Here is a 13,830-nt window from a genome sequence, read left to right on the forward strand (position 1 = left end):
TGACCTTGACATTTTTGAAAAGTACAAACCATTTATTTTGTGAAATGTCCCTCAATTTGGGCTTTACTGATTGTTCTTCATGTTTATGTTCAGGTTATGCATTTTTGCAGTAATACAGCAGAAGCGATGTGCTCTTGTGAATCCTGTCGAGATGCATGCTATTGGTCCCACTACTGTTAGTGTTAACTTTCACAACTTGGTAAAGGTGGTATATGTCATGTATGTCCATTGTATAGTTGCTATTTTTTTTTCCATTTTTGATTAGTATCTTGTGGGGAGATATTTTGAGTATGTAAAAACATCCTCCTTGTAACCAACTCTTCACAAAATACCGTAAAATCCATTAATGATTTTTGCCTGAAACAATTCCTGACTAGAATTCTATTCTACATCAACTTGTCTAGCTCCATAAAAGCGCACGTATTTTTCTCACAAATAGGACTTTTTATTTGCCACTATTATAAGTCTGAACTTTAAACAGATTCTTGGACTGGTGGTTCATATCCATCAACTCATTCAACTTTAACACCTGTCTCATCCCCAGTGGCTTTTCCAGTACTACTACCTTCACCATGAAGCTCCATGAGTTTTCCCAATTCAAACTTGGGCTTCTTCAGCATTTTTACTTTCCTTTTTTTTTTTTTTTTTGAGATGGAGTCTCACTCTGTCTCCCAGGCTAGAGTGCAGTGGCACGATCTCGGCTCACTGCAACCTCTGCCTCCCAGGTTCAAGTCATCCTCCTGCTTCAGCCTCCTGAGTAGCTGGGATTACAGGTGCACACCACCACACCCGGCTTATTTTTTTGTATTTTTAGTAGAGATGGGGTTTCACCATGTTGGCCAGGCTGGTCTCAAACTCCTGACCTCAAATTATCCGCCCACCTCAGCCCCAAAGTGCTGGGATTAGAGGCATGAGCCACTGTTCCTGGCCAGCATTTTTACTTTTCTAACAAAGAAATCATGGAGACGATAAATAGATTGGCAAGACTTTTCTATGTCTTTTCCAATGTTGTCTGGAATCAATTTATTGACCACTTCTTTCAAGTCATTTGTCTGCACCTCTTGGGTCATGATTTCCATCATCTTCTTCCAGATTTGGCAGAATTGCTGGTACTGAGCATAAGAGGTCATCCATATCTGATTGTTGTGTATTTTAGTAAAGTCAACACAGAACAGATGAAGCAAGTAACTATCAGTAGTCTTGACATCAACAGGAGCTTCGATCATTGTCTGCCATTTTTTGACCATAGAACACATTTTGTTACAAGTAAGATCCATGACATGGAAGTTGGGCAGTTTTTGCCCTGAATGTCTTCAGTAATCAGTTTGAATTTTTCTAAATGCAACTTCATCATTCTGCAAATCAGCAAGACTCACTTCAAACACATGACTCTTGAGGCCATCAGATGCAGTTTTGGTTCCTTGGATCCTGGTGACTAGCGTCTTTCCAACATTTCTTATATTGAACATAGCAGGTGCTTTCACATTATATCAATCTTTCTTAGAAAATAGATCAGCCACTTTCGTCTTGGCTCCCTTCTGCCACCTTTCATAAGGCGCTCATTCTCGCCAACTGCCGTGGTGCTGCTCATAGAGCCAAAAGGCCATGTTGGTATTTTTATTGAGATTGTCTTTCACAAGTATTTTAAAGCTTTTCTCAAATAGCTTTTACATACTTCTGGTTACATTTATTCCTAAGTATTTTATCTTCCTCATTGTTATTTAATTGGGGTTTCCCTTACCACTCTATTTTCTAACTGGTAGTTATTGATACATATATATATAAAATATTAATTTCTGAATGCCAATTTTATAGGCTACTAGTTACTGATTTATTATTTGAGTTAGTTTTACCATTGATTTTCTAGTGCAGAAGTCCGCACACTGTATCTTTTCAGTAAAAACACCAGACTGTAAATATTTCATTTTTGTGTGCCAAAAAGTTCCTATCACAACTGTTCAACTCTGCTGGTGTAGTGCAAAAGATGACAGAGGCAATACAAAACCAAGTATATATGGCTAAATTTGGCTCTCAGTTTGCTAAACCCTGCTCTAGGGTTTTCCAGATATACTATCATATCATCTGCAAATAGAGATAGTTTTATTTCTTCTGTTCTGTTGTACTTCTACTGATTCCTCTTGTTTAACTGTATTGGCTAATATTCCCAGTAATATGATGAATAATAGCGTAATTACTAGATATCCTTGCCTTGCTCCTGATGGTACTAGTAAAAATGTCCTTGGTGTTTTCCATTATGATGATGACTTTAAGGTGTGTGTGTGTATATATACATATACCTATACATCAAAGGTGTGTATATATATTTATCATGTTAAGAAAATACCCATCAATTCCTATTTTCTTGAGTGCTTTTATCAGAAGATGTTGATTTTTGTTAAAGGTCTTTGCAGCATCTACGGAGATAATTATATGATTTATCTCTATATTTATTAATATCGTATATTAATGGATTGCCTAATATTGAAACAATCTTGTGTTTTTGGAATACAGTTGACCCTTGAACAATGTGGGGGCAGCGGTGCTGACTCCCTACTCAGGTGAAAATCTGCACATAACTTTTGACTCCCCAAAAACTTAACTAATAATTGCCTACTATTGACCAGAGGCCTTACCTATAACATAGTCAATTAACACATATTTTTTATGTTACATACAATACTGTATTCTTACAATAAAGTAGGCTAGAGAAAAGGTTATTAAGAAAATCATGAGAGAAAATACATTTACAGTACTGTACTGTATTTACTGATACTGTAAGTTTATGTCATCTGTTTACAAGATTGTTTACAGAATTGCCTGTCTGAAATGGAAAAAAAGGCATCTGCAGCTGCACACCTCAATCTATAGTACATCTCAAGCAATTCGACTTCTTATTGTAATGTCATGACTTCACTGCTTCTTGGTAGCAACTCCAGCATCACTAGTAGCGCTTGGTATGGATCCTATAGTGTTACTCAAGGTTTACGGTATTACACTAAACAGGATAAAGAATACATGAGAATTGCAAAAGATCACTTTTTACTGTGATACAGTGCCATTTACTGAAGAGATGAACTGCTCATCTGGAGATGATAAGTATCATAAGGACTTTTAAGCATATACTATGAACACTTGAGCTCACCACAATAGCAATAGGAAGCAGCTGCAAAATTACTACAGCAGTACAACGTGCTACAATTAACTTTATGCAGTTATTAATACTGCATCATTCTGCTTGCTTACATTTCTCTCCACTGTGAATGATGCCATGTATGATCTATGTTTATATGTGTAAGTTTTGACAAACTTTAACTTTTTATATCAGATTTGTGTATATTTTATGGTAGCAAATGATAAAATAGACTAGTACCTACATATATTTCATGCATTCATGATATACCTAACTTTTTCTTAATTTTTTTTTTCTTTTTGAGATGGAGTCTCACTCTGTTGCCCAGGCTAGAGTGCAGTGGCACAATCTCAGCTCACGGTAACCTCTGACTCCCAGGTTCAAGCGATTCTCCTGCCTCAGCCTCCCGAGTAGCTGGGAGTACAGGCACGCACAGTACCATGGCCAGCTAATTTTTTGTATTTTTAGTAGAGACGGGGTTTCACCATGTTGGCCAGGCTGGTCTTGACCTCCTGACCTCAGGTGATCTGTCCACCTCGGCCTCCCAAAGCGCTGGGATTACAGGCATGAGCCACCGTGCCTGGCTTCTTAATTTTTTTCAATATTTCTAGGCTATGTGGTTCATCTGCAAGTTTTTTCAAATTGTCACAAATCTTCAGAAAATATTCCAATATATTTATTGAAACAAGTCTGCAGAATCTGGGCATGGTGGCACACGCCTGTAATCGCAGTTACTCAGGAGGCTGAGGCTGGAGGATCACTTGAGGCCAGGAGTTCAAGATCAGTCTGGGCAACATAGTGAGGCCTGTCTCTTTAAAATAAAAAATTAAAAAATAAAAAAAATCTACAAATAAATGGACCTGTGCAGTTCAAACTTGTTTTGCTCAAGGGTCAACTGTAAATCCCATATGGTCATAATATGTTATTTTATTTTAGAGACAGAGTTTCATTCTGTCACCAAGGCTGTAGCACAATGGTACCACAGCTCAGTAGTACTATCGAGTACAATAGCTCACAGCCTTGAACCCCTTGGCTCAAGCCATCCTCCTTTCTCAGTTTCCCAAGTAGCTAGGACTACAGGTACGTGCCACCATGCCAGTTAATTTTCAAATTTTTTTGTAGACATAGGGTCTCACTGGTCTTGAACTCCTGGCTTCAAGTGATCCTCCTGTGTTGACCTCCAAAAGCACTGGGTTTATAGGTGTAAGCCACCATGCCCAGCTTATTTTCCTAACATATGACATTGGAATTTGTTTGTTAATATTTTATTTAGTAATGGTATCAATACATACAATTGATATTGGTTTGTAATTTTTTTTCTTTTTTTGTGCTGTCTTTAGGAATTGGTATTATCCATGTTCAATGCTCAGCACCAGTTTACGGAGCATTGAGAATATCTTTGAGTGTTTCACAGATTATCTCTATAAAACCATCTGGGACTGGTGCTTTTTTATGAGGTGGATCCTTGATATTCTTTTCTATTTCTTCTACAGAAATTAAACTTTCTCAAATGTGGCCAATTTTGATGAAATATATTTGCCTTAAAAATAAACTTTTTTTTTTTTTTTTTTGAGACAGGGTCTCACCCTGCCTCCCAGGCTAAGCGCAATGGTGAGATCATGGCTCACTGCAGTCTCCACCTCCAAGGCTCAAGCGATCCTCCCATCTGAGTCTCCCAAGTAGCTGCGACCATAGGCATGTGCCACCATACCTGGCTAAGTTTTTATTTTTTGTAGAGTCAGGGTCTCACTATGTTGTCCAGGCTGGTCTTAAACTCCTAGATTCAAGGGATCCTCACACCTTGACCTCTCAAAGTGTGAGTCATTGCACCTGACCATCTTTTTTTTTTTTTTAAGAGATGGGGTCTCATTATGTTGCCCAGGCTGGAGTACCGTGACTATTCACAGATGCAGCCTTAAACTCCTGGTCTCAAGCAATCCTCCTTCCTCAGCCTCTTGAGTAACTGGGACTGACAGGTGTGTACTACTGTGCCCAGCTGAAAATTACTTTTTTCATTTAAGTTTTCAAACTTATTTGGAAAGAAAAGTAGGTTCTTATATTTTTCAAAATTGAGGTATAATTTACATATCATAAAATTCACCCCTAGGTTTTCAAGTGTTGTGTCTCCCTCCCCAACTAAATTCACGTGTGGAAGTCCTAACACCTCTAGTACCTTAGAATGTGATTGAATTTGGAGATGGGACCTTTAAAGAGACAAGTAAGGTAAAATGTCATATATGTGGGCCCTAATTCAATATGACTGGTGTCCTTATAAGAGGAGGTTAGGACACAGACAACACACAGACCAAGGGGTGACCATGTGAGGCCACAGGGAAGTTAGCCATCTACAAGCCAAAAAAGAGGCCTGAGAATGAAAACAACCCTTGAGACATTTTGACTGTGGACTTCTAGACTCCACACGGTGAGAAAATACATTTCTGTTGCCACCAGCCTGTAGTATTATTTGTTATGACAGTCCTAACAAACAAATACATAAAATATATAATCCAGTGGCTTTTAGTATATTCACAAGTTCATAAAACAAACACCACTATCTAGTTGCAGAACATTTTCATCACCTCAAAAAGAAACCCTATACTCATTAGCAGTCACTCCTACCTCTTGCTTTTCCCAGTACCTGGGAACCACTTATCTGTTTTGTATCTCTATGGATTTGCCTATTCTGGACAGTGATATAAATGGAATAATACAATGTGACCTTTTATGTTTGGTTTCCATCTCTAATGATAATGTTTTCAAGGTTCATCCATGTTGCAGCATGCAGCAGAACTTCATTCCTTTTTAAGGCTAAATAATATTCCACTGGATGGATATACCACATTTTGTTTATCCATTCATCCATTGTTGCACATTTCAGTTGTTTCCACATTTTGACTACTATGACATGAACATTTGTGTATAGGGTTTTGTGTGACATGTGTTTTCAGTCCTCCTGAGTATATACTTAGTAACGATATTGCTGAGTCATATGGTAACTATAATTAAACTTTTGAGGACTGCTAAACTGCTTTCCCAAACAGCTGTACCATTTTACATTCCTAACAGCAATATATGCAGGTACCAACTTTCTACATCCTCATCAACATTTTTTACTGTCTAGGTTTTTTATTGTAGCCATATTAGTGTGTGTGAATAAATACTTCCCTTGTGGTTTTGATTTACATTTCCCTAATGACTGCTGAGGCTGAGCATATATTTATTGTCTATTTTTTATGCATTTATTGACTATTTTTATATCTTCTTTAGAAAAATATCTATTTAAATCCTTTGCCAATTTTACAATAATGATTGTAAGCTATTTTACAATTAGATTATTTGTGTTTTTATTGTTGAGTTTTAAGAGGTTCTTTATTCTGGATACAGGTGCCTTGTCATATATAGGATTTACAACCTTTTTCTCACATTCTATGTGTTGTCTTTTCGCTTGCTTAGTGGTATCCTTTGAAGCAAAAGGTTTTTGTTTGTTTTACTTTATGAGGTCCAATTTATCTAGTTTTCTTTGGTTGCTTATACTTGAAGGTGTCATATCTAAAAAAAAAAACCACTAGTAAGTCTGAGGTCAAGAATACTTACATGTAATATTCACATTACAATTTTTTCTACAAGTTGTATAGTTTTAGTACTTAAAGTTAGATCTTTAATCCATTTTTAAATGAATTTTTGTGCATGGTGTGAGGTAGGGGTCCAACTTCATTCTCTGCATGTCAATTTCCATTTATCCCAGCATCATTTGTTAGAGAGGTTTTTCTTCCCCCATTGAATTACCTTGGCATTCTTGAAGAAAATGAATTGACCATAAATATAAGGGTCTAGTTATAAAGTCTCAGTTCTATTCCATTGATCTATATATCTTTTTTTATTTTTTATTTTTATTTTTTTTGAGATGCAGTCTCACTCTGTCGCCCAGGCTGGAGTGCAGTGGCGTGATCTTGGCTCATTGCAACCTCTGCCTCCTGGGTTCAAGTGATTCTCCTGCCACAGCCTCCTGAGTAGCTAGGAATACAGACACGCATGCCACCATGCCTGGCTGAGTCCTTTTGTTTGTTTTAGTAGAGACAGGGTTTCATCATGCTGGTCAGACTAGTCTTGAACTCTTGACCTCAAGCGATCCCCAACCTTAGCCTCCCAAAGTGCTGGGATGACAAGTGTGAGCCACCACACCTGGTCTATATATCTATCTTTATGCCTGTGTTTCTTAGGAGGGGGTTATAGGTATTTTCACAAATGAACCTCATTGCCTATTTTTTATTTTACCTTCATTTTCTATTTTCTTTCAAAATTGTTTATATATAGTTAAAGGTCCTGTCACTTCTTCTTTTCTGTGAACAGGACTGGCTGTTTGAAATAGCTTACAAGATTCCCAGTTCAAAAATGACTTCTGCTTTTACTAAAGTATGGTTTCTTTATTAGTTGGATTTGGGGGCAAGGCAGCGTGAGATTTGTCCTCCAATTAAAAAAATATTTTTCTGTCTTGCAGGATCCTAAATTTTTCCCTTCTATATTTTTCTTAACTGTTTAGTTTTCAGAGGGCATTTATCCCTTCCTTTTTTACCCTCTTCTCCCCTAATGAGTGCCTTTCCAAAACTGCCTTTTTGAGTCCCATATACACTTTTAAGTCCCTTCCCTGTAGTCTCCTCTGATCTATCAGTATTTCTTAGGAGCAAATTCTTCTGGAAATGTCTTTAGATCAGTATCTTAAGCCTGTCACTAGCTTCTTTCTTCTCCTGTGCAGTTTTTCCCAGATCACCCTTGCTTTCCACCACAGCTTGCACAAAGGCATGAATAATGGCTGGCTAGGATTTAGTATGTATTTTTCTACTTACAGATAATTTGAAGTTGGAACATTCTCTGCATTCTAACATTAACATATGGTTATATGCAGTGTTTTTTTGTTTTGTTTTGTTTTGTTCTGAGACGGAGTCTTGCTCTGTCACCCAGGCTGGAGTGCAGTGGCGCCATCTCGGCTCACTGCAACCTCCACCTCCCGGGTTCAAGTGACTCTCCATGCCTCAGCCTCCCAAGTAGCTGCGACTACAGGTGCGTGCCACCACACTCGGCTAATTGTTGTATTTTTGTAGGGACAGGATTTCACCATATTGGTCATGCTGGTCTTGAACTCCTGACTTCAGGTGATTCACTTGCCTCAGCCTCCCAAAGTGCTGGGATTACAGGTGTGAGTCACTGTGCCCAGCCTGGTTATGTGTAGTCTTATTTGTTCATCTTTATTGGTTTTCAGAGGATGTGTGAGGATTTTCAGAGTAATGCATTTGCCACTACTTTAGCTCCCCAATCTTTTAATAGTTTTGTAAATATTTTGCCTGCTTGTTTTTTTTGGATAAAGAATTGTCAGGTTTTTAATGGTCTGGGATATGTCTATTCTAGCATTACAATGGTAATACTGCTTAAGGATAATATTGAAATTGGCTAATCTTAATTGACTCATTGGTTAATATATACTAAGATAAATTCTTCCAAAAGATACTATACTCCTACCATAACAAACAATTCATAAATAATGTGATATCTAATCAGAAATTACAATAGAAAAAAACACTGTTCACTAAAATCCAAAATAATGTAAAAGTCTTTTATGCAAAAGGAGCTACTTGCTTTTTAGGGGCTTTCTCCATTAGGACAATCATTTTTATATTTAAACAGTCAAGTTCAATAAATAAGTAGTTTATCACCCTGGCTATATGAAAGAGTATTTGAATCACAGTCTATAACAATTTTGGCTTTTTTTGCACTTTGCTTACCAGAAGAGAATCTATGTAACTTAATGATCATGATATTAAAAACAAAATATTGAATGAAATTACTATCTTCTTAAATATAAATATCTTATATAAATATGTTTATACTTAGAGGATTTTACCTTGGAATCCTCATTTTAATAAAGACATTTCTTTAAACTGCCATGACAATATTTTTATTGTCAAGTTTATTCTTGGAGGTACAATAGTATTTCTTAGCATTACACTGATTTTATTTTATATGCGGGTTAGAGTTGAGTAACGGAAATTTGGAACTACTCAGGTTCCATCAGTTAAATACTGTGTGGTCTTAGGTAAGTAACTTTGCCTCCCTCAGCTTTTGTTTTTTCATATGAAATATGGAATTAATTTAACAATACCTATTATAAGAGAGATTTTGAAAGTTTAGTGTTTGTAAAATACTTTTAATATCAGAATGAAAAGACTCCATTGCAAATTACTAACGATTATAAATTTGCCCAGTACATATTAGTATGCTAATCACCAATGCTAGAAGTTTCATTGCAGTACCTGGTGAGTTTAAGAGTTTTCCACGAATCTACTCTCTCTACTTAGTATAAAAATATTTTACTAGGCCAGGCATAGTGGCTCATGCCTGTAATCCCAACACTTTGGGATGCTGAGGTGGGAGGATTGCTTGAGTCCATTGAGTTTGAGACCAGCGGGGCAATATAGCAATACCCCAGCTCTACAAAAAATAAAAAATTAGCTGGGCATGGTAGCGTGCACCTATGGTCCCAGCTACTCAGATGACTTGAGCCCAGGAGTTTGAGGCTGCAGTGAGCTGTGACTGCACCACTGCACTCCAGCCTAGGCAACAGAGCAAGACCGTGTCCCCCACCATCCCACAAAAAAAAAAAAACAAAAAAAACAAAGAAAAAGAGAATGTTTAGCCCTTTCTAGTAAGTACTATATATTATATAGTATTGAAAACTGCCTACTTTTTCTCCTCAATATAAAAATATTTTAATATGGACTACTGCTACTTCATATATTAAGAATGTTTAGCCCTTCTCATCACATTTTTATAAAATAGTGAGCTGACTTTAATAATCCCCTAAATCAATGCTTTCTTTCTCAATACTTCTTAGGAGTTAAAAATCTGACTATTCATTTTATAATTTTATCCAAAGCAATAATAATTTTAAAATTTCTAATAGTTATAAATATTTCTTACATAATTGAATAGTAACTTGAACTGAAGATTTTCTTTAGCAAGAAGACAATATTTACTCTGTCTAAAACATATTAGTACATATGCACTGCTACCAGATAATTACTACTTAACTTCTTTAAGCAATTTAAAACACAAAAAACCAAAGCAACGTGTCTGCTCATTATTTCAACATTTATTGAGTGCCTATAGCTTGCAAGGATTGTCTTCTGGTAATCCTGGATACCAGAAGTAGCATGTGGTAACGGAGCAAGGAATATAGGGTGGTAGCAGACACACCCAGTATCCTCAGTGGGGCTGATAACATACAATCTCCCTTGTAAAACTGTGATACACTTTCCTTGGAAGTTTTTGGATTGTATAGAAAATCAATACTTAGGTTGCTCCAAGCACATCAACACTATTATTAAAAAGCTCCAGGGTCAGGCACAGTGGCTCAAGCTTATAATCCCAACACTTAGGGAGGCCAAGATGAGAGGATTGCTTTAGGCCAGGAGTTTGAGACAAGCCTGGGCAACACAGTGAGACCCCACCTTTTTTAAAAAAATGAGCTGAGTGTGGTGGTGCAGGCCTGTAGTCCTAGGTACTTTGGAAGCTGAGTCAGGAGGATCACTTGAGCCCAGGAGTTTGAGGTTGCAGTGAACTCTGATCACACCACTGCACTCCAGCCTAGGTGACAGAGCAAGACCCTGTCTCTTAGAGGACAAAAAAAAAGAGCTGGGGTTAGAAACAAACTGATTTTTCAAAGTTTATTCTTCATAGAGCTTACAATAAATCAGTGGAAAAATGCTGTTCAATATTTTGCCTCAGCACTTTGATTAATCAGTCACTCCTAATGTTGCTTCTTACTTCTTTCTACCCATCTGAATCCTACCCTTTTCTGGGCCCAGTTGTAAAGCCACATCCACAAAACCTACAATATATTTTATTCACTCTTAATTACAAGGAATTTTATCAACTCACAACTCCTAGAACTTTATCTATGCTGCTTATCTGCCATGTTCTGGAGTCTGGGAACTCCAACATCAAGATGCCAGCTGGACTGGTATCTGGTGAGAGCTACTCTCTGCTTTCAAGATGGCACTTTGTTGCTGCTTCCTCTAGAGAGGAGGAATGTTGTCTCTTAACATGACAGAAAAGAAGACAGTGAACCCACTCCCCTCAAGCCCTTTTTCAAGGGCCCTAATCCCATCCATGAAGGCTCTGCCCTTATGACTTAATCACCTCACAAGTGCTCCAGCTCTTAACTATCACATTGGTAGTATTATAATACTATTCATGAATTTTGGAGGACATTCAGACCATAGAACTTCACTAATGGCAGACTTAGAATTTAATAGCAGACTTAGAATTTACAAAACAATTACAGTTGTCCCTTATTATAGGGAGGAATTAGTTCCACAACCTCCAGCGGATATCAAAATCTATGAATGCTCAAGTGCCCTATATAAAAAGGTGTACTATTTGCATATGATCTACATAATCCTCCTGTATACTTTAAATCATCTCTAGGTTACTTATAATATCTAAAACAATGTAAATGCTATGTAAAAGTTGTTATACTGTTTCTTAATTTGTATTATATTTTATAATTGTATTCTTTTGTTTGTTTGTTTGTTTTTGAGACAGAGTTTTGTCCCTATCGCCCAGGCAGGAGTGCAGTGGTGCGATCTCGGCTCACTGCAACCTCCGCCTCCCGGGTTCCAGTGATTCTTCTGCCTCAGCCTCTCGAGTAGCTGGGACTACAGGTGCGTGCCACCACGCCTGGCTAATTTTTGTATTTTTTTGTAGAGACAGGGTTTCACCATATTGGCCAGGCTGGTCTCGAACTCCTGACCTCGTGATCTGCCCGCTTCAGCCTCCCAAAGTGTTGGGATTACAGGCGTGAGCCACCTCGTCCTGCCCTGTATTGTTGTTTCTTATTGTTTTTTTTTCCTTGAATATTTTTTGATATGTGGTTGGTTGAATCCAAAGATGTGGGACATGCAGATGAATTCTATCTAACTTAAGTTCCATTTAGCAGAATCTTTTTACACTAATTGGTAAGACAAACAATTTCTCAATTTCATAAAGTGATGTCTAATTTTTATTAGAGAAAGATGTTCAAATAAAATTTATATTAAATTCCTAGTTGTTACACAGATTAAATATGTGATTTAATCATGCTTAACATTAGAGCAAATTTAATTGGCAAACACATTTTTCATTAAAGAAAAATATTACAAAACTTCGTTTTACTATACTAAATAGAAGAATGCTTGGTCTCTCATAAAAACTACAGAATAAAATGTATTTCTAATCAATGGAAATAAAAAAGTTTTAATATATTCTATAAATGAAACCTCAATGTCTCTAGTGTCTGAGTCACAAACCACCAAGCTAGAAGACACATTTATTGTAAAATACAATTTATACATACAATTTCAAGTGAGAATTTTAAAACAAAGTTAATTTAGTTATAGACACAAACAGAATCTGTTCTTTTTTTATTTTTCTTCTCATTAATTTCTGTAAATAATAATGAAGGCCACTCTAATGTATTTCTTGATTTTTAATAGGAGTATATAGTCTCATTCTTAAGCATTGAGGATCTGTATCATTCCTTTTTTTTAGATACAGGTAACTTACTCATCTGTATGGATTGATGGATGCTAAATTCAAACTTTAAAAAAATTCAGGGAAAAGAGGGAAATGTTCTGTTACAACTAATTAAAAATGTACAATGTATTTTTTAATAGTTGTATTTGTAGTTTTAAAATTTGACTTCATATTTTATTCTTCTTAAATTATATATGTATATATAATATATATTTTTATAATACATATTTTATATTTTATATTGTATTATATTATACTTTTATAATACAATATATTTTATAATATATTACATATTATATATATATTTTGAAACAGAGTCTCACTCTGTCACCCAGGATGGAGTGCAGTGGCATGATCTTGGCTCACTGCAACCTCCACCTCCCAGGTTCCAGTGATTCTCCTGCCTTAGCCTCCTGAGCAGGTAGGACTACAGGCGCACATCACCACACCCAGCTAATTTTTGTATTTTTAGTAGAGAAAGGGTTTCACCATGTTGGCTAGGCTGGTCTCGAACTCCTGACCTCAGGTGATTGCCCGTCTCAGCCTCCCAAAGTGCTGGGATTATAGACATGAACCACTGCGCCAGGCCATTCTTAAATATATTTTATATCCACACCTACCTTAATTTGTGTAGATTTTTTTCACTACATATCTGTGCCAATTTTGTTCTGACAAAGATTAAATTCTACATTTGGTTCTGCTAACAAAAACCAAAAATCTTCTAAGCAAGATGTAAAAGCTTCTATTCAATGTCTAAGAATTGTTTTTCTCCCATTTTGGTCGGTTAAAAAGCAAAGTGTTATATTTTTAATTATTTCTATACATTCTTTCTTTTAATCAGAATTAATGCTAATCATGTCTATGTAGCTTTCTTCTAAGCACAGACAAGAGTAAACACTAGCAGTTTTTATTTCTGGATATTATCAAGAATTATTAAAATTTAACTTAAAAACTCTTTGCCCAGACTTTATAAAGACAAATTTTCATCTGCCCAATTAATTTTTAATGCTACTATTTAATTAATGACTCATTCTTAATACATCCCATTAAAGTCTTGACATACAACTTTACAAAAAAATTTTTATTTTAGTAGTCCTCTAATTTGTATTATTATCAGTAATAACAAAATAGAT

At 36.3% G+C, this 13,830-nt stretch overlaps 1 protein-coding gene and 1 pseudogene across 15 annotated transcripts in view; both read right to left on the minus strand.

The window, feature by feature from the left end:
- Positions 1 to 13,830, minus strand: part of BAZ2B (bromodomain adjacent to zinc finger domain 2B) — a 397,131-nt gene that overhangs the window by 373,430 nt on the left and 9,871 nt on the right. Inside the window, exon 3 of one of the 15 annotated variants that reach the window (NR_110586.2) lies at positions 4,451 to 6,679. The exons of the other annotated variants lie outside the window; for them this stretch is intronic. The gene's annotated coding sequence lies outside the window, so the exon portion shown is untranslated. Of the gene's footprint in view, positions 1 to 4,450; positions 6,680 to 13,830 lie in introns of those variants that run through there. 15 annotated transcript variants of the gene reach the window in all.
- RPS3AP13 (RPS3A pseudogene 13) lies at positions 930 to 1,603 on the minus strand (annotated as a pseudogene).

This window comes from Homo sapiens, chromosome 2 (assembly GCF_000001405.40).
Source record: "Homo sapiens chromosome 2, GRCh38.p14 Primary Assembly".
In the NCBI taxonomy this organism is placed as follows: domain Eukaryota; kingdom Metazoa; phylum Chordata; class Mammalia; order Primates; family Hominidae; genus Homo; species Homo sapiens.